A 27555-nucleotide genomic window follows, 5' to 3' on the forward strand; every position below is an offset into this window, starting at 1 on the left:
AAGGGGTCCCTAGGGAAAATCCCTGAGGGAAAACAGTGGGGTCTCCCAGGCCTTACCTACCTCTGAGACCACAGTGCCCGACACCACATCAGGAGCCAGTAAATGGATGAATGACACCCCAGGGAAGAGGCTCTGCCTTGGAAGTGTTTAAGTGACAAAAGTGGTGGAGCACAGAGAGCAAGCTCTGGCTCTGCCACTTGCCAGCTGTGTGATCTTACACTTCTCTCAACACATCTGTGCAATGGGGTCAATAAATCATGCCAGGCCTACAGCACTGGTCAGAGCAAACAAGCTGCTGGATTCCAAGTGAGAGAGTGCTGTCTGCACAGTGAGCACCTCCTAAGAGTCAATAAGGACTGAGAGTGAGGACAAGAAAACAGAAGCCATTTGCTAAATTAAAAAGAACAAGGGATGGACCCTGTGGCTCCCCACTGTAATCCCAGCACTTTGGGAGGCCGAGGCAGATGGATCACCTGAGGTCAGGAGTTCAAGAACAGCCTGGCCAACATGGCAAAACCCCACCTCTAGTAAAAATACAAAAATCAGCTAGGTGTGGTGGCACACACCTGTAGGCCCAGCTACTGGGTGGCTGAGGCAGGAGAATCGCTTGAACCCAGGAAGCAGAGGTTGCAGTGAGCCAAGATCATGCCACTGCACTCCGGCCTGGGCCACAGAGCAAGATTTCATCTCAAAAAAAATAAAAAAATAAAAATAAATAAATAAAAAATAAAAAGAACAAGATGTGTACAAAGAGGGGTACCTGGCTAAGGTGAATCCCTTGGTTCCAGCATTCATTGATCTGTTGCTGGTGCTCTGGTCCCAAGCATAGCCCTGCCAGGGAACCCAGTCTCAGCCCTCAGGGAGCCCATACTCTGTCAAGGAGAGAAGGCCTGGAGATGGACTTACAGTCCAAGCTTGTGAAAGTATCCTAAGAGAGCCCTCAACTGCAGGCAATGAAAGTCTAGAGACAGAAAGAACCTGTCCAGTGCAGGAGGATGGGGGGTCCTTCTCCTGGAAGGAGAAGGTGGCATCTGAGCCAGGATTTGGATTTGGGGGCATGAAGGAAGAGGCAAGGGGCATCCCAGACAAGGATAAGATGTGGGTGGGGCTATGCTCACTGACTGAGGCCCCTGGGAGCTTAGCACCCATGGAGCGGGGTCACGTAGCTTTCACACCTCCACATCTAAATCAGGCTATGCTTCTGTGTCTCCGGGTCAGGTTTTGCACACAATGGGTGCACAATACCTGCAGATTTTGCTTTTTCACAGACTCCACAGAACTTCCCAAAAGAAAGATACCCTAGAGAGAAACCCATTCATTCCAGTGGTTGTCGGTAAGCATGATCAGATCAGAGGAGATTTGGGAAATCTATGAATTATTACTAATATTGTTATGGGGGAGGAAGTATGGCATTTAATGGATGGGGCCAGGGATGCTACCCAGCACAGTTCAGCACGGTAAATAATTGGCCTGCATCTCACACATCTTTGGAATGACCCATCACACACTGAAGTTGGTGAAAACTCTTTATAGATAGGTGAGCCATGAACATAACTCTGTGTTTCCGACATACACAGAGATTTGGTGTTTTCATTTACACTAACTTTTCCAAGAATACAACCAACATATACATTGAGGGAAGATTACGCTTTGCTTTGGTTGGAATTTTATCAGGACATGTTCATAATTTCAGAAAATCAGTTCACTGATGGCAACACCGCCAGAGATATTTATATTGCCAAAAAACACAGCTGTCCACATTTATAGCTGCTGCATTCATGGAGATTCTACGCCTAAGTGCAAGCAACTAACTACTTTATTATGTCTTCTGGTGTAGTCATGTCTGAGCATTTACATAATGAAAATATATCATTTTATTATGATTTTACTTTTCTTTCCCCTTTTTGTTACAATTGGGGCATTAAATCTATTTTTTAAATTATGTGTATGAGTGGATTCTATTTCCTCTAAATTTCATTTTAGGATAGCAAAGGAAGCGCTACAAAATACTTGTTTTAAAGAGGAAACATTGGATTGATATGATTTTTTTTCACCACATTCAGCTAATTTTTGTATTTTTTGTAGAGATGGGGTTTCACCATGTTGCCCAGGCTGGTCTTGAACTCCTCAGCTCAAGGGATCCACCCCTCTCGGCCTCCCAAAGTGCTAGGATTACAGGCATGAGCCACCTTGCCCAGCTGGGGTTACACAATTTAAAATCACTATATATGATTCCAAGGCGCCTCCAGTTCTACCCTTCAAGACTATCCCATATTAGGGACTATCTTCCTAATTTGTCTTGCTAAAAAGGGTATAGCTCTAGAGAGAAAGAGTTCTCCAGACCACCTTTGAGGGACAGAAAGACAAGTACCAAAAACAACTGTGAAATAAATGTACTTCCTTGATCATGAATAGTAAAAGCTTGTTCCTAACAGACAAGACCTGGATTCCCTCTGCCCTTTTTAGAAAACCGTTTCCCAAATATAAGATTCCAGCTAGGACTGAGCCAAGGAGTCCCAGCTTCCTACAGCAGCTTCTCCTCCCTGCTGGAGCCTTCTCTCAGCTGTCTATACCTAGGTCAAGAGGGATAGGCCAGGGAGAGAAAAATCACCTTGAAAAATCAGTGCTCCTCCTGCCCTGAAAACATGCAGAATGCACGTTGGAGCTCCAAGAGCAAGGCAGGTGGGACTAAGACTGGGGTGAGGTGTAGGGCAAGGAAGGGGTGTTATGGGGGTTATATGCTGCCTCTGCCAACTAGTAGAGCAGTTATATGCACAGGCTCTGAAAACAGAGTGCTTGGGTTTGAATCCCAGCCTTGTGACTTACTGGCTTTGTGGCCCTGGATTGGTTATTGAACCTCTCTTTTTTTTTTTTTTTTTTTTTTGAGATGGAGTTTCGCTCTTGTCACCCAGGCTGGAGTGCAGTGGCACAATCTCGGCTCACTGCAACCTCCACCTCCCAGGTTCAAGCGATTCTCCTGTCTCAGCCTCCTGAGTAGCTGGGATTACAGGTGCACACAACCACGCCAGGCTAATTTTTTGTATTTTTAGTAGAGGTTTTTTGTATTTTTAGGGGTTTCATCATGTTGGCCAGGCTGTTCTCGAACTCCTGACCTCAGGTGATCTGCCCACCTCAGCCTCCCAAAGTGCTGGGATTATAGGCATGAGCCACCGCACCCAGCCTCATTTTTTCCAACAGCCAAAGGAAAACAGTATTGGTACATACACACTCACCACACTCGCCTATCACAAAGTGAGTGCTTCACTCTCACCATCAGCCTTGTACAGCTGAGGGTAGAGGGCAATTTTTTCCCAGTGGTCACACTATAAAGCCAAAGAGAGCTGGGCTGGGAGCAGGGACCTGGGTCCCTCTTCCCTGTAGACAACTCACACTCAACTGGCCTTCAGAGGCCATCATCTCCAACTCCCCCACTTTATAGATAAGGATACTGAGGCTCAGAGAGGGGAAGAAAATGGACAAAGCTCACACAGCAAACTAGTGTTAGATTCCCAGCTTAGACCCATTCCACTGCATCATGCTGCCTCTCAAACACGCTGGGCATCAGTTTGTCCGTCTTCAAATGGGGGGTGGGGTGGTGATTGTCACCGGGTGGCACCAGGGATCTCTGAGTGCCATGACAAAGGGAAAAGCCCTCAGCAAGCACTTATTACACCTTTGCCAACTCTGAGCACATAGCAGGTGCCTGCCACACACTCATCACACGGGTTACATTATCTCTCCCTGGCCAGGGCTTTTTTGGATGAAAGGTTGGTTCTCAGTTGTTTAGTGAGTGAGGGAATGCCAGCATGCCTGAAAACAGAACTGGAAAAGGGGACTCTGGTGTCTGCAACCAGAGGGAAAGCAAGAGATCGCAAAGAAGAGAGAAGTCCATTCCCTCACTACTACTTCCACGTGTGTGCCAGGCCCTATGCTGGGCACTGAGGGCGTCTGGGACGAATGGGAGACGACTTCTGCCCTTGGAACTCAAGGTCCGAAGGGGGAGGCAGGAGAAGGCTGTGGGGCCTCAGAGCCAGCCATCTCCATGAGGCAGCCTTCTGTGTAGGGCAAGAAGAGCTTTCTGAGGCCGGCGCCTGGCCACAGAGCATGGGGATACACACAGGGGACAGAGATGGAAGGAAGGCCTTCCCTCCAGGGCGCAAAGCACACGTGGCAGGGTCAAAATCCAGTCCCGAACTTCCCAAGCCACAGCAGGTCACTGGAAAAAGTGATGCCTTTGTGTTTGTGCCTTTTTCTAATTTTCCACCGGTGCAAGAGACAAAAAAGTTTATGTCAGGGCATCATCCAGCAAGATCAGAACCCCCACTCAGGCTCGGGGACAGAGGGAAGAAAGAGTGGCAGTCGCACCCAGGAGGACCTGCCTGTCCAACATCAAGGAATGATCAAGAACTCCCATCCCGGTTCCACGCTGCGCGTCCGCCATCCGAACCGGCCTCGCCCCTCCAGGCCGGGTCCCGACGCCAGCTCCGTCCGACCCCCGCCCGGCACCCCCGTCCGGCGCCCTCGCCCCGGCGCGCATCATCTGCTCCGCTGCCCAGCTCCCGGCTGCCGCCGCGCCCGCGCCCCCCGGGGCCCCGGAAAGCTGGCATCCGTTGTTAGCATAACAAACTCAATTGTTCTCAGCGGGGCCCCGGCAAATAAAGTCATTCATTACGGGCCTCTCCTGGCCGCCGCGGGCCGCGCGGCAATCAGCGGGCCGAGCCACGCGCCAGCGCTGGGACCTGCAGGGCGCGCCGCCGCCTCCACGCTGCGCCCCGGGCCCCGCCGCGGCCGCGCCGGCGGGGGCAGCGCCGGCCGCCGATTAGTTTTATCTCGGAACGTCAATTGACTTAGACTGATTGGCTTCCTGCCGCCAATGTCAATTAAATTGCAAATGCTTGGCGGAGGCCGGCGCGAGCGGGCGGCCTCCTTCCCGGGGGCGCCGCGCTCAGCCTTCTCTTTGCGCCACGTTCGGCCGCAGCTGAATTCATTTCTCCTTCCACGTCGCGCAGGAAATCCAGGTGACCTCCTGGAAGTCGTCTGCCCTCCGCCCCCGGCCCTGGGGACTCCTCCGTCGGAGCCCGAGCCCCGAGGACTCCCGGCCGGTGGGCGGGAGCTAGGCCCACGGGGCGCCCGGACCGCGGGGCCGAGGAGGAAGGGACCGGCCTCCCCGCAGGGACCTCGGCCTCTCTGCCGAGCTGTATTCTCACGGTGGCACCGCGGATCCCTGGACCTCCTTCAAAGATCTTGGGATATGACTCGGTGCGCCCTTGAGCGACTCGCTTCCTGCTCCTCTCATGCCTGGCTTTCTTCACCGGCCACGAGTAGGCTCGAAGGAGATGGTGGCCGGGGTCCCGTCCAGCCCATGCCCAGTGCCTGGGTGTCCAGAGGGAGGAAGGCCTGGCAGCATCACCAGCGTTCACCTGGTGCTGACGCTGTGCCGAGCCACGGATGGGCACAGTCTAATCTTCCCCCACAGCCCTCCGAAGCAGATACTGTTACTGTCCGACTTCTACAGAGGAGCGAAGTGGGGTGCAGGCCAGAGAGTGGCCAGTTGGGTTTCAAACGCCTGCGGCTGCGTGCCTATACGCTGCATTCAGGGAAAGGCGCTGTGGAGGAATAAGAAAGGGAAACGGAAAACGGCCCAGCCTAGACCTGGGCACCTCCCACTGCCAAGAACTGTACCAGGTGTTTTGCCTCTGTTATGGAATTCTCACAGTAATTGTATGACCTAAGTATATAGTCCCCATTTTACAGATGGGGAAACCGACCCTTGGAGATGTTCAGAAATGTGTCCCTTGCCACAGAGCGGGTATGTGAGATGAACTACAATGATACTCTCATAGGCAAGAGAGCTTTACAGCTTATAAAGCACTTTCTCATGCACTTCTTCTCGCCGAATTTGCACAAGAATTTGAAGAAGGCGTCCTGCTCTCTCTGGTGCCAGTAGGAAAATCGAGGCCCAGCATGGGTTGCCCAAGATCACCAGCAAGGGAGTGCCAAGCCAGGACTCCAAGCCCCGCCTTGAAGGCCTTGAACGAGATGGCTCAGGCACAGGCTCTGCTCGTTCCCTCTCCCCATTCTTTGGGGAGCTAGGAAGGAGTCATACACTGGGGTCTGCTGGAAGATGCTCGGGGCCATGGGGAAGAGCAGGAAAGGGGAAAGGGGCTCCCACGAAGGAAGGCATTTGCTGGAGGAACCATAAATTAGGCCCCCAAACAGTTGTTTTTCGCCCATTGTCTCTGCCTCTCTGCCTGCCTGCCTGCCTCCTTAAGGTTGTCTCCCGAGAGGGAGGTACGCAGGTTCTTAACTGATAAAATGTGCCAGCAGTTAAAAGATACAAACCTGACCAATCGTCCTTTTCAGAAAAGAGATGTTCACGGAACAAAAGTACTATTCAGAAGTGCTGGATGGCGTTTGTGTCTGAGACAGAAAGGAAACGAAGAGCGAGAAGATGAAGAAGGAGGGAGGGGGAGCGGCGGGGAGCGGGGGAGGAGAAAGGATCAGGAGCTGGAAGGGTTGTCCAGACTCAGTGGGTCCTAACCGAGGCTCCGGAAGGGCAGGACCTGACTCAGACCACACCGCAAGGCCACGGCTGAGTCAGGATGAGAAACCCAGGCTTCTCCAGTGTCGTGTCAGGCTCACCTTACTTCTGACAGCTGCCCTCAGCTACGACTTGAATTATTTGTGTTTCAGAAACATGGAGCTGAAATTCTGCCAGCATGAATTCCAGTTGGTATTTCTTTCCTTTTCTTCTGACCCTAAGCTGAACAATCCTATCATGAAACTTAGTAATATAAATAAAATGATCATTAAAAAAGAAAGAAAGCCTGTAATCCTGGCATTTTGGGAGCCTGAGGCAGGAGGATTGCTTGAGCCCAAGAGTTCAAGACCAGCCTAGGCAACAAAGCGAGATCTTGTCTTGACAAAAAAATTTTAAAAAATAGCCGGGTGTGGTGGTGCATGCCTGCAGTCCCAGCTACTCAGGAGGCTGAAGTGGAAGGATCACTTGAGCCCACGAGGTCAAGGCTGCAGTGAGCTGTGTTTGCACCACTGCACTCCAGCCTGGGCAACAGAGTGAGACCCTGTCTCAAAAAAAAAAAAAAAAAAAAAAAAGAGAGAGAGAGAGAGAAAACAAAAAATCTGGGAATTTAGAACGTTCTCAACGAGATCTTTTTGAGGAATCTAGATTCAGAGTAAAAACACTTTGCTCTGATAATAGAAATAAGAAAATAATAGGTGATATTTTTGAAACTTGCCATGTGCCAGTGCTAATCAAAATATTATAGGCAACATTTTCTAATTACCAGAAAAGGCAGGAATTATTATCCCCCTTTGACAGGTGAGGAAATTGAAGCTCAAAGAAGCTAAAGCCCTTTGCTGTCAAAGCTCACACTGCTAGTAAAAGGAAAGGCAAGGCTCAAACCCCAGTCTACTCACGGTGCCACCTGCTGTGGCTTAAAACCCACATGTGACCAGCCGGCTGCGCTTGAAGGTGACCAACTTGCAGGTGTGACAGGGAAGTGTGCGCAGCAGTGTTAGGAAAGCTTCAGAAATGGCGTACCCCTGAGTGATGCAACAGACTCTGAGCCAAGGTCCCCCTGAGCTCAGCCAGACAGGATAATGGGGGAACAGGCAGAACTGCGAAAAAGTAGAATCAAAGCCCCATGTTGGAGAGAGCTGAGGATATTCCCCTGGAGAACACAGCCTCATACGGATGTCATCCTGTTGTGACACCCTCTGTGAGAGGCAGACTGGGATGGCCAGTAAGCACCTAGGTACTAGTCCCAACACTGCCACTATTGAGCTGTGTGACCTTGGGAAATTGTCTCACTCTCTCTGTATCTCTATAAAATGGGGATAATAAGAGTATCCACCTGGTACAGTGGTTGTGAGTATTACATGAGTTAATAATTTAAAATCCAGAGTCAATACTCAGTAAATGTTAGCCGTTATAGTTATCCCATATTGCAGTTCCTCTTTGGTGCTGTGATCTATACACATCTGGAGCACATGCTTAGGTATGGCAGGCAGAAAGAGGACCACAGGCACCAGTATCCATATGTATGCATGTGTGCATGTAGATCACGAAAGAGCTCCCTCCCCGTCTAGAATGGCTGTCACAAGATCCTGGAGGATGGAGACTCTGGGGTCAGGCAGGACTTGGGGAACGTTTGACGTGCAAGGCTCTGTGTTCTGCTCAGCAGCCTCCACTCATTCCCCAGATGAGCCCATGGCTTCTGTGACATCCATGGCCCCCATTCGGTACATATTTGCTGTTGTGAACCAGGCCCTGTGCTGGGCACTAAGGTGACATTGGTGACTGCTCCAGACACAGTTCCTGCCTTCATGGAGCTCACAGTCTTGCTGGGAAAACAGGCGAGTGACAAATGTGATATTTTGATGAACAGGCAGGTTCTGTGTGCTGGTGGGGAGTTGGGTTGGAGGGGAGCATCTGAGAAGCCCTCACTTAGGAAGTGACACAAGCTAGATCCTGAAGTTTGGGATGTCAGCCAGGTAAACAGTAGGGTGAGGGAGGAAGACAGTTTTTCAAGCAGTGGGAAGAGCATAATAAAAGGCACTCTTTATTGAGCACTTATTATATATGGGGTCATCCTGAGCACTTTACATGCATAATCTCATTCAATTCATATAACAGTCCAATCACAAGCACAATTGGGAAACTGAGGCTCAGAGATTGGTCCAAGATTCCAGGAGTAGTCATTGTTGAGTCAGCACTAGAACTCGGGTTGTCTGACTCCTAGGTTGCAAACAGGACAGAGCATGTGGTGTTTAAGGAACGGAAAGAGGTTTGGTATGACTGGAGTGCGCATGAAAAGAGGAGAGTGGAGAGGGCCTGGCAGCCTTGTTAAGAAGTTTGCATAGCTTCTGAGAACAATGGGCAGATTTGAAGGTTAAAACCCTTCAGGCAAGTCATTGATCAGAATTTTCTTTCAGCTGCTATGTGGAGGGCAGACTATTATTTGGACAAGTCAACGACATTGGAGATGGGGACCAGCCAGCAGGCTACAGCAATAGTCCAAATGAGAGAAGAGAGTGCTTGGACTAAGGCAGTAGCAATGGGGATGGAGAGAAATGAGCAGATTCAATGGATATTTAGGACAGAGATGCAGTGACCTTGAGCAAACGCTTGCCATAAGGCAGGCCTTTTTCCGTGGTGACATGTAGAGGCACAAACTTTCTAAGCAGTGAAGATGGTGGAGCCCCTGCTTCCCGCTAATTTAAATTCCAGAGAAGGCCGGGCGCAGTGGCTCACGCCTGTAATCCCAGCACTTTGGGAGGCCAAGACAGGTGGATTGCTTGAGCTCATGAGTTTGAGACCAGCCTGGACAACATGGTGAAATCCCATCTCTACAAAAAATACAAAAATTAACCAGGCATGGCGGTTCATGCCTGTAGCCCCAGCTACTCCGAGGCTGAGCTGGGAGGATGGCTTGAGCCCAGGAGGCAGAGGTTGCAGTGAGCTGAGATCACACCTCTGCACTCCAGCCTGGGCGGTAGAGCCAGACCTTGTCTCAAAAAAAAAAAAAAAAAAAATTCCAGCAAAAATTATAAAATCACAACACTCTCCTTTTCCTAAAGCACCAAAAAGATTTCAAAAGCATTTTTCCATCTTCTATTTTATGTAAGTCTAAGAGAAAGATGTGACTATAATCTCCACAGATGTGAGAAGTGACCTACCCAAGGTCACATGGCTGACAGAAAGATCTAGAATCTAACTCCAGCTCTAGTGCTCTCTGGTACACCACAGAGTGTCAGAGCCCAAAAGAACCTCAAAAATCGTCTGCTCCAATTTCCACATTTTAATATGCGGAAAACAAGGCCCAGAGAGAAGTGACTTGGCCAAGGTCACACAGCAAGTAAAGGCTTAGAGTAGAACCAAGGACTCTACTCCCAGAAAGGTTTATATCAAGGCATTTGGACCATGGAGGTGAGAAAGGACCAGATTAATCCCCACTAGCAATGGTCCAGCCTCCCCCTCCCTGACTGAATGCTGCTGAAGAAGTGAGACTTCAGCTAATGGTCAGCCCACCTGGGCACTGCCACCTCCGACCCAGTTACAAGCATACCAAGCTCATGAATGGCCGGTACACACTGCCCTGCTACCCTACCCCTCTTGTTCCTAACCCTGGACAGCAACTAAGCTGTCCTGGGTCGATGGTGCCACCTGGTGGCTGGTGCTGGGAAGTGTCTGACTCCCTCATCACTTTCGTCCTCCACTGTTCAGTCCCTCAAGAGGCTATGCCTTTCTTTCTGCCTATTTCCTCTCATAGATCAGTTAATTTTGCTACAAGCAATGTGTTTCTCACACATACCTTCTCTCACACCTTTTATCCTTCTTCCTCTCTCAATTTTTCTCAAATTACCTTAAGACATTCTCTTGTTCTCCCTCTCCCACAGTTTATTCTAACACAGGGATAAAATGCCCCAAGGAAGGACTAACACAAATGTTAATTTGTACTAATAAAAATGAAAACTAGAAATTTCAAAGTAAAATTAAACACATGCGGGCACACACACACCTCGCCCCCACCCCCCAACCCTCCCACACACACACATGAGTCAACCAGAAACATTCCAGAAACACCCAGAAGCCCCTGTGGAATCAGAACAAAAATCTCCCCTTTGTCAACTGTCTTTTAGACCTGCTTTTCCTCAAATGCCAGGAGTCAAGATAAATACCAAACCCACTTCTTTATTTTATTTTGTTTCATTCCCAATCAATAGCATTGCTAGGTTTTCTTCCCATCAAAAATATGCCCCAGATGGGGTCTCCAGGTGGCTGCAGGCTAGTACAGAGCTAAGCTGGATGGGGAGAATAGGCAGGGTTCTGAAACACTCACTCCCCAGGCTCTCGGGTGGCACGAGCTGGCTGCTGCTGGCACAGAAGAAAGCCTGCTGGAGGGAAATCAGACCTCAAGCCCTACCAACAATCTGCTGGGAAGGGGAGAAGGCTCGGTAGCTATGTCTTTCCGTGGGAGCTCAACCTGGGATAGAAGCAAGAAGCACTACATACATATCCCAATCGGCTAGTGGAGGATTTCCAAAACCCAGTGTGTCTTGTCACTCCCTCCTCAGCTCAAAGACCTGCCATGGCTCCCACTGTCTTAAGGAGCTAAGAACAGGAGAAATGACTGATGACACCTTTCTTTTAACTGAAACCACTTAATTGCTCACCTTATCTATATGAGTGATAAGTAGGCAAGTTCAGACTTTGCAGCAGCCTGAAGCAGAAATTTTCAAAGTGTAGTCCAGGGAGCCCTGCCAGGGTTGGAAGAAGGGGTCCCCAAGATACTTTCAGGTGATCTGTGAGGACAAAATTATTTTCATTGTTTTTTTATTTTACTTTAAGTTCTGGGATACACGTGCAGAATGTGCAGGTTTGTTACACAGGTATACATGTGCCATAGTGGTTTGCTGCACCTGTTATTTTCATATTAATGCTAATGTGTGATTTGTCTTCTTCACTCTCATTCTCTCACGAGTCTACAGTGGAGGTTTTCAGAAGCTGTAAGATGTGTTCCATCACAACGGAGTGAATACAGCAGCAGCTATGAGAGTCCAGCTGTTTTCTATTAAGCCAGACACTAAAGGGATCTGCAGAACTGTAAGCCAATGCCATTCATACTAAATTTTGGGTTTGGAAGATTCGGTTCTTTCTTATTTCAAAAATATTATTTATGTTACTTGTTTGTTACTGTTATTTTTAATAAATAAATATTTTAAACTTTCATCCATTTTAATTAACCCTCATAAACTAAAGCTCCTTGAAGTCCTTGATAATTTTTAAGAGTTTAAAGGGACCCAGGACCAAACATTTGAGAACTGCTGCCCTACAATAATGCCAAGAGGACTTGAGATGGAACCAGGAGAAACTCAAAATTTTGGTGCCAGAAAAAAACCTCAGCAATTCATTGATCTCCTGTTTTAGATGGAAAAACTGAGGCCCAGACAGAGAAAGGGACAGGAAGAAGGGACACAGCAGGGGCAGGGGTTTGAAGCCTTGTAAATTCTCTGACCCACAGGCTATGCAGCCAGGGATTAAACCATATTCCCAAGCCAGAGAGAAAGGACTGTGGGATTCTCTTCCCCATGGGGCAGCAGGGCATGCAGGGTGGAGAAAGCCAAGGCCATTTCACCTCAAGTTCCAGACCGCCTTGGCAGGGGACTGCCCACAGCAGATGAGACTATATCCCCCTCCATCGGCCCCACCACTCTTTTACTGGTTGGCCCCCAAACTGATTCCCTGAACTGAGATCCCCACATGGCAGCACCCTGCCCTCTCCCATACCCCCAGGGCTCTCCCGAACACCAGTACACCACCCCATGGGAAAAGGAACTGGGGGTAAGAGGAGGGGGAGGGGCTGGGGCAAACCAGGTGCACAAACAGAGAGGGTGGGGGTTCAGCGGCGTTGGCTCTCACGGGGGCTCTCGCTCACTGAATCAAAGTGAAACTTGGGGACCCAGGAGCGAGGAGGAACCGAAACCTGAGCCCCCACCCGTGGGACAGGCCCTGGGCACTAGGGAAAGGCCCCAGGAGCCCCTCCAATTGGCCACCTGGCCTCAGATGCCCTGCGTTACCACAGAGGCCTCCAGCAGTTGTCTATCTGGGTCTCAGCTGAGGTGCCCACAGCTACAAGATCAGGACAGAGATCACAGGGGAGAGTGGCCCGCCAGGCAGGGAGATGGAAACCAGGTCCTCACCATCTCTGCCACTAACTGCCCCCTGCATACCCTTGGGCCAAGCCTGCGCCCTCTGTGCCTGGACTACCCTACCTGCAGGGTATAGAGCACATGACCTGCCAAGGAGTGTGGCTGCTTGGCCACTGCCCTAAGTTCTTGCCTCCGCTACCCTACCCACCTCTGGCCTGTAAGCCTGACTACCCACTTCCCTGACCACACACATACACGCACGCACACTCGGCCCCACCGGCCAGTTCCAGGATCTGCCTCCCATTAGCTTCAGCTGCCACAGGCAGAGACTGAGCCAAACTGGTTTCTTTAGAGTTCATGCTAAGACTCCAGAAGCTCAAAGACCTTCAGGCCAAGGAAAACAGAGCACAAGTGCCGAGAGCAACTTGAGCGGGGAGCGCATGAGAACTCGGGCCCAGCAGCCCCAGATGACTGTTGCCTTGTGGGTTGCCAGGCTGCCAGCTGCCCCAGGGTTGCCAGATCTGATTTTTCTTCCCCAAAGAAGCCAGGCATCCATCCATACATGAAATTTCCTGATTTTGCAATGTTGGTAACTAATTCAAAATCATCATCAATACAGGGCAAGCCAAGGAAAGCATGGCTACCAGGCTGCCAATTCCCCCCTGGGTTCTACGTGATGCCCCCACCACGACCACACCCCAGCAGAACCTTGGTCCTGACTCCTTCCTAGACAAAAAGAGAACTCAGGTAACAACCCACCTCTCTACATGAGGGGACATGTAGACACCTCTCTACATCCAGGGGACAGCACACAGAGGGCCAGGGAGGGGACCTGCCCTTGGAAAGCCCCAGCAGAGGCCAAGACAAAATGGTGGTAACCTCCTTCCTGCCCCCAAAGCCACACTGGGAAAAGGAGATGGAGAGGCTGCCTGTTCACCCATACTCCACACTGGACCCTAAAGAATCCTTGGGTCTCAGCCAGTTGTGAAGGACCAATGACCCAACACTGGAAATCCCCACAGGGGAGTGGGCTGGTTCCAGAAAGCCAGGCCAGGTCCAGGCTCAAGGACAGCATTCCAGGTGGCAGGCCCTGAGTGGGCAATGGCCTGGAGACGGGAAGCTGAGCCAACACACAGGGACTGGAGGCACAGGAGGAATGAGCAGGAGGAAAGGGAGGCCCGCGAGAGAAGGGCAGGGCTTCTCTCAAGAACTGAGGTCAGTGCGGGGGGACGTGTGGGCAGCACCCCATGGGGAGATAAGACTGATGGGGCTGGCTGTCAACAGTGGGGATGGCGGACGGCCCTGTGAGAATGGAGGAAAGGAGGGAGAGGAAAACTGAATTTATCACATCGAAAGGCAAGGGATGCCAAGGATTTTCCACAGAGCCATCCTCTCTCTCTAGGTTTTGGGGGTTTTGCTGTGTGATCTGGGCAGACCGCCTCTCTTCTCTGAGCCTGTTTTCCCATGCGAATGACGGAGCGGGGCGTCTCAGGTGCTCTCCAAGGCCCTTCCAGCTCCCATGGGGGAGTCTCGAGGTCCAGGCTGGTGGCCCCAACAACCCCTCAGACGCCCAGCCCTCCCAGGCCCAGGGTGCTACCCTCTGCCCCCACCCTGGAGGCCTCCACCCCCCTGTGCTCCCTGTGCCTCTCTTCAGGGAAAACTGGGGCCTGACCCTTTTCTTCTGCCATGAAGCAGGCTGGGAGACTCAGCTTCCTAAAGGCAAAGGAGGAGGAAAGTGAGTGGCCCTTCATTCTGCAGCCGACACCTGGGGGCACTGTTGTTCAGCCTGGATGCCCCGGGCTCCCGGCTGCAGGCAATCGGCTTCTTCAGTACTATGGAATCGCTCCGTGGCTCCACAGCTCCAAACAGGAAGGTGGTGGTGGGCGAACCAGCCAGTTCCAGCTGCCAACAGGACCGTGGCTAAAGCCTGCTGCCCTCTGCCATGACGGGCCTCACGTCCTCAAACATAGGCCTCTCCGTGGCCATCTACTCAGCATTGACTACAGCCAGGCCCTGGGGCCACGCCCTTGGCAGCTGTCACTTCACTTCATTTTATTCTCACTGTAACCCACAAGGCTTGCGTCAACTCTATTCGCCAGATAACAAAATGGAGGTGCAGAGAGATTAAGTAACTCGCTACAAGAAGTCCTCAAACCATTTCATCCCTGCCCATGAGCCTGTGCCTTTGACTCAACACCTTATTTGGGGCTCTCCAGGGATCAGAGATCTGTGAACTCTCAATCCCACAGGGGCTGCCTATTACTCCTGACTCAGGAATCCTGAGCTTTTCCACATACCCATCCCTTCTGGGAGCTCTGAGAGGGCTCTCCCCACTTCCTGCTTCTGTTTTCTGCCCTCATCCCGGGAGCAGCAGACAGCATCTATGCATCCAGGGAAGGAAAAGGGTCCTAGGAGAGAAAAGACCAGGACCTGCCCATGTCAGAGGGGCCCAGGGCCCCAGCACGGTCTGTGAGCTTCTGAAGCCCCTTCCCTCTGGCCATAGCTCCCGTGGAGGTCTGCTGGGCAGGGCTGAGGGGGCGTCCAGCCTGAAAGAGACAGGGGAAGAGGGGATTTGGGGAGAGAGAGAGATAGCAAGAGAGAAAGGAAATTGAATGAGTGAATGAGTGTGAGAGAAAGAGAAGAAGGAGAGGGAGAGAGAGAGTGTGTGTGTGAGAGAGAGTATGTACGAAAAAGAAAGCTAGTGAGAGCTAGACCGGGAGACAGAAACAGACACAGAGGAAGGTTCAATAAACAGGAAATAAAGCCAAATAACACAGAATGAGATGCACCCCCAAAGACATGGGGAGAGACACAAAAACAGACAGGAGACAGGCATCCCCAAAAAGGAAGTCATAATGGGAGCACCTGGCTAAATGCCCCCCAACAAACCTCCCCATGAGAGTCTCATCAGACTTGGCATCTTCTGGAAAGGACAGGCCACCTCTGAACCCTGGCTGCCCTTCCTGTGCCCTCCTTAGAAGGTAGTCCAGAGCCCAGAAGGCTGGAAACTCACTTGCAACGTACCCCTACTGCCCAAAAAGAAACCTCTGGCCCCCACAGTCCACACTGGCTGGACAGGTCAGCTTTCTAAACTGGTGAAAGGGATTCGCACTCCGCTGACCTCAGTGTGTTCAGGGCCTTTCAAACTCAGGGCCCTGTGAGTTATTGTGAGGGGGACAGGGAGGGGACCTAAGTGGGGAGAGCGGCGGAAGGAGGTCTCACTAGAGATCAAAAGCCCAGGAAGGAACCCAGGGTCTGAGGCTGCCCTTTCACCCATGGCCGCTATTCACAGCCCTGCCTGCTTTGCCAAGTCTCTCCCTGCCACCACCTCCTCTGGGCCTTCCGGAGAGGGAGGTGCTGACTCAGCCTCCATTCCCCTCACCCAGCAGGATTCCTGAGCCATGCCACAGCTTCCTCGACGAAAGCTCTCAGTTCAAACCAACCAAGAGACAAAGCGACATCTCATAACTGGGTGGCACCCCAGCCTGACCCTCAGAGCCATCCCGCAGGCCTCCCAGGCATCCGTGTGAACCGGGGCTGTGCCGAGAGGCTGCGCTGGGGATAGAAATGATTTGTGGCCCCTGCCCTGTCAAGTCCACATGAGTGGCAGCCTCAGGGTCAGGCAGCAGAAGGGAAAGACAAGTGGGTAGATGCACTTGCAGACACAGTACTGGCACAGAAGCATTGGCCACCCAGGCTAGAACAGGCCTGCCTCAAAAGTCACAGAGTCCGAACCAGAATGTCATCCTTGACTCTTCTGCTCCTCATTTGTCCAGCGCCTGCTCACACCTCTGATGATGGAGAGCTCACTACCTTTCTAAGATAAAGCTTCCATTCTTGGCCCAGCCTGGCTGCTTCTGAAAGCCATATGTTGCATTCAGCCATAATCTGCCTCCTGCAGCTTCCTTTAACCAGCCCCAGCTCTTCCTCCAGAGGCCACAGAGATCTTACCTGCTGCTGAAGAACAGTTCATCTGAGACTTGGACATAGTGGCCATATACCCGAGTCTGGTCTTGGAGGCAGGCATCCTAGGAAGAACTCTAGAATCTCTATACTGAAAGGGCCCTTCGCCAATCCACTGGCCTAACAATATTCTAGTTAGTTTGTTTGTCTTTGCTCCAGAACTCTACTCGGAGCTTTCTATGGAAGCCCAAAATACCAAACAAAAGCACCCTTGACTGAGGATAGTAGAGGTCCCTCCACTCACCCTCGTTACTAATTGTGAACCCTCTAAAGGAATGTGACTGATCCACTCTACCAAGGAGCACTTACTGAGCACCTACTATGTGCCAAGCACTTGTATTAGAGCTGTGTTGTCCAATACAGCAGCCGCTAGTCCTATGTAGCTACTGTGCACTTGAAATGTGGCCAGTACAATCGAGGAGCTAATTTTTTTATTTGATTTGATTTTAATTTTAATTTTAAAATAGAAGCAGTGTAAAATATTTGTCCCACTAAACACAGCTTTATTGTTTTGGTAGGACTACATCTAACTTTAACTGTCAAACGTTTCGCATCCAAATTGAGATGTACTACATGTGTAAAATACACACCAGATTTCAAAAACTTGGCAGCAAAAATAAGAGAAAATATAGCATCAAATTTTTTATATGCTGACATGTTGAAATGATGATATTTGGGGTATACTGGATTAAATAAAATATATTATTAAAATTAATTCCACTTGTTTCTTTTTACTCTTTTTAATGTAGTTACTAGATCATTTAAAATTACACGTGGCTTGCATTCTGCTTCTGTTGGATAGTGCAGGGCTAGTCACTGTCATGTTATCTTTTTACCTGAAACACTCAGCAGAGTGAATGTTTCTTGAGCATCTGAGACACATAGCTCAAAACTATCTCCCTAAATGCTTCTAGACTAAATGTTCGAAAGCCTCCGTCAAAGTCTAAGCCACCCACATCTCTCTACCTCTCTCCCTTTCCAAATCCTGCCGTGCTGGTCCTCTCCCTGCACATGCTCACCAGAGTCCCAGACTTGGCACAATCTCTCTTGCCTTTGATTGGAATGCCCTCTCCTCCCTTTACCCAGCTCTCAAATGCCACCTCCTATGAGGAGCCCCCAAGATCCTTTTGGTCAAAACTGGCCCTCCCTGCCTTACTCTTTCCCCCAGTGTCACCTCACCCACTGCCCTCCTCATCAGAGGAATTTCAGCTTGCCAGTCTTGCTCGCCACCTTACCCTCTGTGGTTGGATCCTATCACCCGTTCACCTCTGCAAGATCTGGGCAGGAGGGTGGCCCCAGGAAATGCCCTCAGAGCAAAACTCAAGTCTAAGCTGGGGATGACTGTGAACTAGGCAGCAGAGTAAGCAACTCCACCTTGCAAAGCCTCAGTCACCTCATCCGAAAAATGGGCAAGGACCCTCAGCTGTCTTCCTCTTAGCTCTCCATTGCCTCTCTTACCCCATGATTCTTCTCTCAGGCTGCTGATGGTACCGCACTGGAGGCCAGAACCCTCACAAATCCATGGTTTGCAGCTGCCATGGGCCAGCCGGCCAGTGTGCCTGAAATATCCCTGTTTCCCCAGTGGCTGCTTCTTACTTTCTCTGCTCTCCTCCAACCTCTGGCCTTCAGGTCTCACTTCTCTCTCCGCATCCAACCTGCTAATCATGCCCTTCTGATTGAAACTCTTCCCCATACTGGCCCCAGGCTCTGCCCAGCCCCAGACTGCTCCGCCTCCAAAGCGCATCTCTGAAAGGGCTGAGGGACAACAGGTAGCTGGAAAATACCAGGGAACTGAGGCCTCAGGAGCACTCCAGCTCCTCCTGACTCCCCAGTCCATACCAGCTGTATGGCTGTGTAGCCTCCATCCCCTCCCCTAGTAAAACGGAAGTGACAGTCTCTGCCTCTTTACCTCCCCCTAGGGCCACTGCAGGAATCCAGAGAGATACAGAGAGAGGATGGGAAACATCAGAAGGGGGCACTTATGCAATACCCCCGACAGACACTTCCCTGGTGTGAGCCCGGCCATTGCTGCCCACCCCTGGGATCAAACGTGCATACTCTCAGTGGTGTGGGGTAGGAGTTAGGGGGAGGCTCTGGTTGATTGGGTTTGTCCCCCACTCTTTCCACTCCTATAAGCTTCCAGGACCATCAAGTCATTCTCCCTTCTACCACAGACCACTGACTGGACTGCCCCCTAAGTCTTCCTGAGGATCAGGACTCTACCATATATATCAGAACTGGAAAGATTTCAAAGATCACCCAGGCCAGGAACAGTGGCTCATGCCTGTAATCCCAACACTTTGGGAGGCCTAGGCAGGCACATCACTTGAAGTCAGGAGTCCAGGATGAGCCTGGGCAACATATCAAAACACCGTGTCTATTTATTAAGAAAAAAATTTTAATTAAAAAGTAAAAAAGATCATCCAATACCACATCTGATTCTTGATACTCTGTTGGCAGCCCAACAAGTGGCCACTTAGTCTCTGCTTACATATCCCCAGAGATAGGGCACTCATTACCTCCCGAGGCATCTCCTTTTATCCTAGGCCACTCTCATATGTGCAACTTGGTTCTTTTTAAACTGAGGTGAAATCACCTCTGCATCAGCCACACACTTTAAGGCCATGCAATGAGATCTCATTCCTTCCTCCTTCCATGTCAGCCCTCCAAATACTTGAAGGCAGCAATCCAGTCTCGCTTATTCTGCTCTTCTTTGTGCCAAAATATCCCTAGAGGCTTGAGGTGTTCCCAGATGCTGTATCAGATCCCTCTTCGCCCAGGACACAATCCCATTTGTCACCGTCCCTCTTAAAGGTCAATACCCCCAAATGGGCTGCAGTCCTCCTCCGGGCATGATCTGAGTAGTACGGAGTAGTCAAGACCAACACCACCCACATTCTGACCACGCTATACCTTGTAAAGGAGCTTGAGGGGCAAAACCATGACTGCTGGTCAGACTGCAAGCCAATATAGCACTCCGAAAACAAAGTAAATAATGCCCCCAGGCCAGAACCTGTCTGTTTGGTGGTAAACATCAAACTAGCTTTTCTCTTTCCCCAAAAATCTCCACCTGGATCCCTCAGCCTCTGGGGGAGTCTCACACAATCTGTCCCTCCACCGTGAACAAATACATCCAGGCCCCAGCTTAGGCACATCTGCTGCGAGTCCAGGTGACAATGGGAGAAAAGATGATACCATCAACCTCATAAAACAACAGAGATGGCAGGCCCACTGCCTCCTGCAGCAACACAGCACCGCAGCCTACTGAGTTAAAGACGTCTGACATCTGCTCAGGAGCAGCAGGAGCAGAAGAGAGAGGCAAGGCAGGTTCCAAAAGCCGCAAATCTTCCCCACACACCCCCACGGTTCCAAACCGAGGCCACCGGCTCTGCTTCTGCACTGCTGGCAACACGCAGACCACAGGCCAATCCACGGCTGGGCCGACTCAATTTTCTAGTTACAGATCTTAAGTACTTAGGCATGTGCTCATGAGAACACACATCCCTTACACAGAGCTGAGAAAGGGAATTGTGCTGAGGAACAGAATAATTGAATCAAGATTTCTGTCATGCTGCTCTCAGGCCCTAGACCACAGCTCTGGCTTTTTTTTTTTTTTTTTTTTTTTTCTTTTCCTGACTAAGGTTTTACAGGCTCCCAGGGGGTCTTTTCTCCTCTCAAACCCATTAATGTCAGCCAGTACTGGCAGCCCATACAGGGGAAAGGAGCCCCAGTTAAGGTGTCCGGTGTCCAGGATGGAGGTGGCTGGCTCTGGAGACCCAGGCACCACAGGGCCAGGCCCGTGGAGGGGCTGAGAAAAACCAACCGGGAAGATTGTCATCTTTGTAATCCCCCCCAACACCCCCGCACTTCTTCCTTCCAGACCCAAGGACAAAGATGAGATGATTATTAATTTCCTCAGCACCGCCCCCCAACACCATCATCAGGGCTGAAGGCCTTCTCTGTCTGCTGAGACGTGTGCAGGGCCTTTCAGAGAACCCACCCCTCCGCCCTCCGCACGTGTGCCCCTCTCACGGTTTGGCCAGCCCCCTCTCTCTGGTCCAAAGCTCCTCCACAAAGTGGACTTGGGTGTGGAGCCCAGCACACCCTGCCCTCGGGCCGCATATCTGCACGCACACAGGGTCTTCTTAAAGGCCAAAGCTCAGGCCACAAGGGCTCTGCCAGGCCCGCTGCTTCTATCCAAGGGGTGACCATGGGGGAGGCCAGCAAGAATGCCACAGTCTCACCCTGCTGCCTGTCTGTCTTGCGGAGGGCTCAGCCCTTTCCCGTGTTCACGAAAAGGACAGCGTGCGGGCCGGGGGACTCGCTCCTCTGCAGGTAAGGGGGGTGTTCGCGGGCACCTCTGCTGCCACCCGCGACCGAGCGCCGGAAACAGACCCCGTGGAGCGCATCCCCGACGGGGCTGCGCGGGCCTCTCTTACCTTCGTCTCTCTTGCGCTTGTTGGTGTCGGCGCTGGGGGACGTGATGCCCAGGATGCCGCTGATGGAGTACGACGAGCCGGCCGAATCCGTGCTCACCGAGGACACCTGCGTCACGGAGCCAGTGGACACTGCGCGGAGAAAGACGGGCGGTCAGGGCCGCAGAGGGCTGAGGGCGGCGGACCGGCTGTCACCGCACGTGAGGCTGGGGGCGGCTGGGAGGGAGCGAGCGCAGGGTGGGCAGGGGGCGCTGAGGACCCTCGCTCTGCGGAGGCGGCCACACCTGAGCCACGAGCGCAGGCCTCGGGCGGGCCGTGTGCCCCAGTTCTCTGCGATGGGGGGAGAAAGGGAAGGGTGGGCACTGAGAAGGACTGACCCCTGCAGAAAGGAACACGGGGACACGGGGACAGGAAGGGCTTTCGCTTAAATTCCAGCCTATCCATGGATGCAGGAAGCAGGGGATGGAGAGGAGAAAGAGGGGAGCCGGGGCCCACCAACAGTCAGTGCTTAAAAAAAAAAAAAAAAAAAAAAAAAAACCTGAACTACTCGTTAGGCATTTCACCACCTGCCTGCACACCCAACCCAACCTTGGGTGCAAACACAACTACCTGAGCACAAACTCACGCGCACGGCTAACAAACTCCAAACCGCAGAGTGCCCCTTCTTTTTATAGTTTTCTTGCTGCCTTTTCTCCTTCCAGTTTCCCCCGATTTGATTTTAATATTAATTATGACAATAACAATAACTAACATTTTCTGAGAACTTACTCTGTGCCAGGCATTGAGGCATTATCTCATTTAATTCTGAGAACAATCTTAGAAGCTAGGAAATGTGATAATCCTATTGGAAAGGTAAAACTCAGAGAAGATAAGTGGCTCACCCAGGATCATACAGCTAATAAGAGGCAGAGTGCCTGGTGCCGGGGCTCACGCCTGTAATCCCAGCACTTTGGAAGGCAGACGTGGGAGGATCACTTGAGCTCAGGAGTTCAAGACCAGCCTGGCCAACATAGCAAGACCTACCAAAAAACTTTAAAAAAAAATTAGCCAGGTGTGGTGGCACAAGCCTATAATCCCAGCTACTTGGGAGGCTGAGGCAAGAGGATCACTTGAGCCCAGGAAGTCGAGGTTGTAGTGAGCTATGATTGTGCCACTGTACTCCAGCCTGGGCAGCAGAGCAAGACCCTGTCTCAAAAATAAAAATAAAAAATAAAAGAGACAGAGTGGTGATTTGAACCCAGAGACTAAAGCCTCAAACCCTATAACTAATCTGCTTCGCACTAATAAACAATGAAGAGCAATAATATACTTCACATGAATGCAGTACTTTTCATTTGATGATTGCAACAGCCCAGAGTGCTATTATTTATCCCCATTTATCAAATAAGGAAACTGAGGCTCCACAGGGAAAGTGATTCAAAGTCATCTAGCTAATAAACAGCGGCACCAGAACTTAGCCTTGGGTTTACTTACTTAAAGTCTAGATTTCCCCCGCCCAGAAATAGGGGCAGTGGTTGGTGACTTATTGTGACTGAGGCTAGGTCTCAAAGTTCCTAAGAATAAGAATTGGATGGGAGGTGGGGGGCAACTTTTGTGCAAGTTTCACATTAACTTCTGGCCCCAGATTCCTAGGGAGAGACCAGTCCATCAGCAGGGGCCTCTCCAGCTGTACAGCTGAATTGCCATTTCTGGGCTGTGGGAATTCTTTTTTGATTCATTAAAACCTACAGACCAATCTCAGACACACTTCCTTGGGCTATAACCAGCTGGAGGCAGGTGGAGCCACCTTTGACTCTTAAGAGTAGGAAATCACTAGAAATGGTGGTGACTGCCTGAGAAGCCCTTCACGGCTTCCCTTTGGAGCAGATCCAGCTCCTGGCTCCTACAAACCTAGAGGGAGCCATGCCTTTCTTCTCACATTTCAGTTTGATCTCACATCTTCCTTAAGAGACACAGAGGCAGAAATCGTTAACTTCTCTTTTTCTTCACCAGAAGAAGCTCCTTAAAATAGATTTATGCAAATCCCACAACCTTTTCTGTATTAACATGTAAAAAACAGAGGAAGAAAGAAGATCCCAGGTCACTTGGTACTTTAAACAACAACCACCATATATAACCAAAGCTCACCATGTTGCTGGCAGAGCCCATGACATTCGTTTTGGTGTTTTGTGATTGCGCTAGGCTCAAAAGACCCAGATTCCACTTTTGGCCCCACCACTTACTGGCAACATGACCTAGGGCTAGTTATTTCATCTCTGTAAGTTTCAGTTTCCTCACTCCTCGGTAAGTTTGTGAACTCTAAGGGGCTATATGTATGCGAGATGTAGTTTAATTTAAAAATTTCTGGGACAGAACAAAACATGCTGCTGACCTACAGTAGAATTATTCTTCTAAACCAAATGAAAGAATATTAGCAGTTATACCCATTTGATTTTCAGTGCTATGTGACCTGAAATAGTTGGTCAGCTACAAGTGAAATCTCAGCCACAAACATTCCCCCAGGAAGCCTTCCTTCACCCTCTTCACCCTAGCCCAGCAGAGCTGGTGGTTCCTTTCCTTCTGCCCCCACAGCACCCATCCCTTCTTCTTGAGCTTCATCTCTGTCTTGCAAACTTCTCTTCATTATATTCCCCCTTTACCTTGAGAATGGGGATTTTGTCTTCCCTTTCTTATAGGCTTGGCCTCTGATGCCAAGGTCTGCACCGCAGGGACTTAGCAGACACTTTCTGAAGGGATTACTAAATGAGGAATTATTTCATGGCAGGGAGGAAATCTGTCTTACCTTTATCCAAAGAGCCAACCATGGAGGATCAGAGGCCTCAGTGAGCACCTGGTTAGTGCCCCTCCACCCACAAATGAGGAAACTGAGGCTCAGGGAGGTGAGAGAACTTTTACATTTTACTGGGTGAGGTAATGACAAAGTTGGAACTGGAGGCCAGGACTCTGCCCATTCCCCATCACCGTGTGAGTTCAAGTTCTCAGTTAAAGAAGGAATAACAAAAGTGTGGAAATGTTACACAATCTGAGGTGTGATTCTGCAGGATTGACTGTGGCAACCAGAAGTGTCAGAGACTTGCTAAATCATTGCCCACTTTCTTATATAGTACAATAACTTTTCCCCCAGCTAACCAGCGGTGTTTCCTGTATCCCAAGTGGAGAAATAATACACCTTAAATAGACACATGTCATTTCACAATCTTTGAAGGGAAGACAAAGGACATTTCTGAACTCTTGAGCACTAGGAAGTATGACTCCCACTCTGTCGGGTCACAGCCACTCTCAGACGTCACCTGCGAGCACTGGAAACCCCACTGGCAGCCCTTGACAGTTCATAGAGTTCATGAGATCGAAGCAAGAGAGAGAGAGAAAGTAAGTTTGGGAACTTTTGCCACATCTTCACTCAAGACTGCAAGTGCACAAAGAATTGTAGAAGGGCTGGTTGATAGAAGAAAAAAACACATTCAAAACTACTTACTGACTAATGATGCAGAAAATGTTATGAATAAGTATCCCTTTCTTGATTTATTACTTTAATTATCTGACATTCTATAGACCCCCATTAGTGGATTTTTTTTTGGCTTAGATTTCAATTTTCTGTCTCATGGTGAAAGCTATTTATCATAATAATCAGTAAAATTCAAAACCTTTTAGCAGTATTTATAAAATTCATTTACCAGGTTCAGCCCTTGGAGAATGACAAAGAAGGCGCATTAGTACGTGTGCTGAAGTGTTTTATGCAGAATTATCTGTCCATAAGAATGATTAAAAGTTCTTTAGAATATTTGGAGCCCATTAGATTTTTAAATTTTTTTTAAAAGTTCCTCTTACCTATGCTGTGACTGGAAGCTGGGACTGGTTGGTTGGGTGGCTGCTGTACTTTTGTCCGGATGATCCTGTGGGCAGTTGAAAAACAAAATTGCTATTTACCATCAGGAAGGAGAAGAGACCTCAACCAGCTATGCACAGACAACCAGAAAACTCATACCCAAGCTGGGCCATGGTTCGAGCTGAGGCAGAGGGGCAGAGGTGGAGGGAGATTATAAACCCAGGCTGGAATCAGGAGGGTGGAAGGTTTATGGACTAGTCCCAACTTTGCTTCTGTTTCCCTGTGTAATTTGTTTCCTTGTGTAATTTGCACCCCCTCTCTGGGCTTCAAGTGCCTCTTCTGAAGAAAGAGGATGATGTGTTAACATTACGAGTAAGCATCCCTTTCTCGAGTATAGCTCTAGCTCCATAAGAGACTCATTGAGTGACTTTAGGGAGTCCTTCCCTTTCCTAGACCTCAGCCTCCTATATGTGGAATGAAGGAACTGAACTTGGTAATCTCTCTGTCCTCTGGCAGCGCTCACGTGCTGGTTTCTCTGCCCTAGAGAACGCATAAGGAGGGATAACACCCCTTCCCCTAGGAAGTTGCCAAGGGAGGGGATGTATATGTTGTTCTGATACTAGGGAGAGTCAAAGTGCAGCCAGGAGACATCCGGTTTGGCTTTCTTAAGAGGAAGCCTACCTTGCACCAAACCTCACAGAAAGGATCCACAGGGCTGGAGCCAGTGATATCCTGGCCTGTCTTTTCAGAGACCTTGCTCACACTCTAATACAAATTCCACTGTGACCTTGACCAAGTACATTCCATTGTGGACCTCCGATACAATGACGGAGTTGGAACAGACCACTCTGCTTATTTTAAGTAACCAAATCATTTTCGGAAAAGAAAAAAGATCTTATGGAAAAACCCCGTACATAAAAGAGATAATAGCAGTACTGCCTTCCCTTGGCCATCTGACCGCTCTAACATCCTTCTGCAGAACCTTAGGCTCTGAAGAGTTTGTAGACGTCCAGCAAGGACCACGCATGCGCAAGACAGCAAGTCCGGCGCATCTGAGAGCAGCAGAACAGGGCCACGCGAAAAGCTCCTTCGGATCTACCAGAAAGCTCCTTCCTTGGCATTTGGGAGAAGAGTGGGTCATAATAAAATGTCCGGTTTCTTTGGAAAAGTTATATTCCAGTCTCAAACTATTACCTTTTGAAAGGACATTTATTAGAGTTTTTTCTCATTATAACAGTAATATACGTTCATTGTAGACTCTTTGGACAGTATGGGAAAGTATAAAGAAGACATCTAAAAACGGTATTTTGGTGTATTTCCTTTATACCAACATTCCTGGGCATATTTAGAAATATCCATTTTTCTCTTAACAAAATCAGGATTATGCCATGTATACAGTTTTTTTTGTTGTGGTGGTTGTTTGTTTTGAGACAGAGTCTTGCTCTGTTGCCCAGGCTGGAGTATAGTGGTGCGATCTCAGTTCACTGCAACCTCCGCCTCCCAGGTTTGAGTGATTCTCCTGCCTCATCCTCCCAAGTATCTAGGATTACAGGCATGCGCCACCATGCCCAGTTTTTTTGTTTTTTTGCTTTTTTGTTTTTCTTTTTGAGACGAAGTCTCTCTCTGTCACCCAGGCTGGAGTGTAGTGGCATAACCTCAGCTCACTGCCACCTCTGCCCCTAGGGTTCAACTGATTCTCCTGCCTCAGCCTCCCGAGTAGCTGGGACTACAGGCGCATGCCACTGCCTAATTTTTGTATTTTTAGTAAAGAAGAGGTTTCACCACGTTAGCCAGGCTGGTCTCCAACTCCTGACCTCAAGTGGTCGGCCCTCCTCGGCCTCCCAAAGTGCTGGGATTACAGGCGTGAGCCACCGCACTCAGCCTCCATGTATACAGTTTTGCAGCCTGCTCTTTTCATGCAACATTCTGTGAGAAGCTTTTTCACATTCCAGACCATTAATATCTGAAAGTTTATTCTGAGGCTGCACTGGGTCTCCAGCTTATACAAATGAAGAATGACAGAAGTAGCAGGTGGGTGCCTCCCCTTAAACTCAATGGGCAGTAGCCTCTCTGCCCTTTCTGATCTTACAGCTTGGTGCTCGGCACCAAGGGCAGTCCGTGTCCTCAGCTGATAGCCTGAAATGGTCTTTTCTGTTCACCCTATAGTCTCACCACACACACACAGGCCATCTGGAGCCTGGCTACTTGAGCTCAGCAAGGAGCCTCTTGCCCTTTTCTAATCAGTCAGCTTAAGTGTTCCCTCAAATACATTCAGATTGTTTGTTTGTTTTCCCTAATATTCAAACCACTTATTTTAACTAAGCAAACTCGAAGCATATTGGACAACCAGAAAACTCATGGCATTTGGGAGAAGAGTGGGTCATAATAAAATGTCCAGTTCTGGGAGTGAGGTTCTCTTTTTGGTCACCTGGAAGTAAGCTGGCATCTGACCTAATGTTTATATTTTTGTGTATGTCACTTTCTCTGTGTGTATGTGTCTACAGAGATATTGCTGGATATGTCAATATATGGATATACCAGACATAAATATAGTTACAAATAAATATATGGCAAAAAAGTCACTGTAGTTCAGCTTAAAATCCTTACTTTTCAAATCATTGTCTGACTATTAAATTTGTATGTAAAAAAGCAAAGAAA

At 49.7% G+C, this 27555-nt stretch overlaps 1 protein-coding gene and 1 long non-coding RNA gene across 15 annotated transcripts in view, besides 12 other annotated features; one reads left to right on the forward strand and one right to left on the reverse strand.

Moving 5' to 3' along the window:
• Positions 1-27555, reverse strand: part of PAX5 (paired box 5) — a 201000-nt gene that overhangs the window by 148305 nt on the left and 25140 nt on the right. For 11 of the 13 annotated variants that reach the window (NR_103999.2, NR_104000.2, NM_001280551.2 and 8 more), the window contains 2 exons: positions 24900-24964; positions 21075-21203 (listed from right to left, as the gene is read on the reverse strand). Coding sequence is in view for 11 of the 13 variants with exons in the window: in NM_001280551.2 (NP_001267480.1) it covers positions 21075-21203; positions 24900-24964 (194 nt within the window). In the remaining 2 variants the exon portion in view is untranslated. The remainder of the gene's footprint in view (positions 1-21074; positions 21204-24899; positions 24965-27555) is intronic. The other 2 variants (NM_001280553.2, NM_001280554.2) reach the window with 1 other exon arrangement.
• Positions 4931-5886: an enhancer, noted in NCBI's record as "H3K27ac-H3K4me1 hESC enhancer chr9:36986501-36987456 (GRCh37/hg19 assembly coordinates)". NCBI's record gives its function as "activates a minimal SCP1, AML or CMV promoter by ChIP-STARR-seq in primed H9 embryonic stem cells {active_cell/tissue: H9 hESC(primed)}" and the evidence as "EXISTENCE:reporter gene assay evidence [ECO:0000049][PMID:30033119]".
• Positions 12078-12127: an enhancer, noted in NCBI's record as "active region_28363". NCBI's record gives its function as "activates an Ori minimal core promoter by ATAC-STARR-seq in GM12878 lymphoblastoid cells {active_cell/tissue: GM12878}" and the evidence as "EXISTENCE:reporter gene assay evidence [ECO:0000049][PMID:35858748]".
• Positions 13438-13597: an enhancer, noted in NCBI's record as "active region_28364". NCBI's record gives its function as "activates an Ori minimal core promoter by ATAC-STARR-seq in GM12878 lymphoblastoid cells {active_cell/tissue: GM12878}" and the evidence as "EXISTENCE:reporter gene assay evidence [ECO:0000049][PMID:35858748]".
• Positions 13628-13687: an enhancer, noted in NCBI's record as "active region_28365". NCBI's record gives its function as "activates an Ori minimal core promoter by ATAC-STARR-seq in GM12878 lymphoblastoid cells {active_cell/tissue: GM12878}" and the evidence as "EXISTENCE:reporter gene assay evidence [ECO:0000049][PMID:35858748]".
• Positions 13738-13807: an enhancer, noted in NCBI's record as "active region_28366". NCBI's record gives its function as "activates an Ori minimal core promoter by ATAC-STARR-seq in GM12878 lymphoblastoid cells {active_cell/tissue: GM12878}" and the evidence as "EXISTENCE:reporter gene assay evidence [ECO:0000049][PMID:35858748]".
• Positions 14518-14677: an enhancer, noted in NCBI's record as "active region_28367". NCBI's record gives its function as "activates an Ori minimal core promoter by ATAC-STARR-seq in GM12878 lymphoblastoid cells {active_cell/tissue: GM12878}" and the evidence as "EXISTENCE:reporter gene assay evidence [ECO:0000049][PMID:35858748]".
• Positions 14518-15079: a biological region, named in NCBI's record as "H3K4me1 hESC enhancer GRCh37_chr9:36996149-36996649".
• Positions 14579-15079: an enhancer, noted in NCBI's record as "H3K4me1 hESC enhancer chr9:36996149-36996649 (GRCh37/hg19 assembly coordinates)". NCBI's record gives its function as "activates a minimal SCP1, AML or CMV promoter by ChIP-STARR-seq in naive H9 embryonic stem cells {active_cell/tissue: H9 hESC(naive)}" and the evidence as "EXISTENCE:reporter gene assay evidence [ECO:0000049][PMID:30033119]".
• Positions 15581-16096: an enhancer, noted in NCBI's record as "H3K4me1 hESC enhancer chr9:36997151-36997666 (GRCh37/hg19 assembly coordinates)". NCBI's record gives its function as "activates a minimal SCP1, AML or CMV promoter by ChIP-STARR-seq in primed H9 embryonic stem cells {active_cell/tissue: H9 hESC(primed)}" and the evidence as "EXISTENCE:reporter gene assay evidence [ECO:0000049][PMID:30033119]".
• Positions 16097-16611: an enhancer, noted in NCBI's record as "H3K4me1 hESC enhancer chr9:36997667-36998181 (GRCh37/hg19 assembly coordinates)". NCBI's record gives its function as "activates a minimal SCP1, AML or CMV promoter by ChIP-STARR-seq in primed H9 embryonic stem cells {active_cell/tissue: H9 hESC(primed)}" and the evidence as "EXISTENCE:reporter gene assay evidence [ECO:0000049][PMID:30033119]".
• Positions 18269-18318: an enhancer, noted in NCBI's record as "active region_28368". NCBI's record gives its function as "activates an Ori minimal core promoter by ATAC-STARR-seq in GM12878 lymphoblastoid cells {active_cell/tissue: GM12878}" and the evidence as "EXISTENCE:reporter gene assay evidence [ECO:0000049][PMID:35858748]".
• On the forward strand, positions 20620-27479 carry LOC105376032 (uncharacterized). 2 transcript variants are annotated; one of them, NR_188579.1, is made up of 4 exons: positions 20620-20970; positions 21127-21271; positions 24196-24440; positions 25877-27479. It is a non-coding gene; the product is annotated as an uncharacterized LOC105376032 (long non-coding RNA). The 2 variants fall into 2 exon arrangements; NR_188578.1 differs by lacking the exon at positions 24196-24440.
• Positions 24246-24295: an enhancer, noted in NCBI's record as "active region_28369". NCBI's record gives its function as "activates an Ori minimal core promoter by ATAC-STARR-seq in GM12878 lymphoblastoid cells {active_cell/tissue: GM12878}" and the evidence as "EXISTENCE:reporter gene assay evidence [ECO:0000049][PMID:35858748]".

Source organism: Homo sapiens, chromosome 9 (assembly GCF_000001405.40).
Source record: "Homo sapiens chromosome 9, GRCh38.p14 Primary Assembly".
Taxonomy (NCBI): Eukaryota; Metazoa; Chordata; class Mammalia; order Primates; family Hominidae; genus Homo; species Homo sapiens.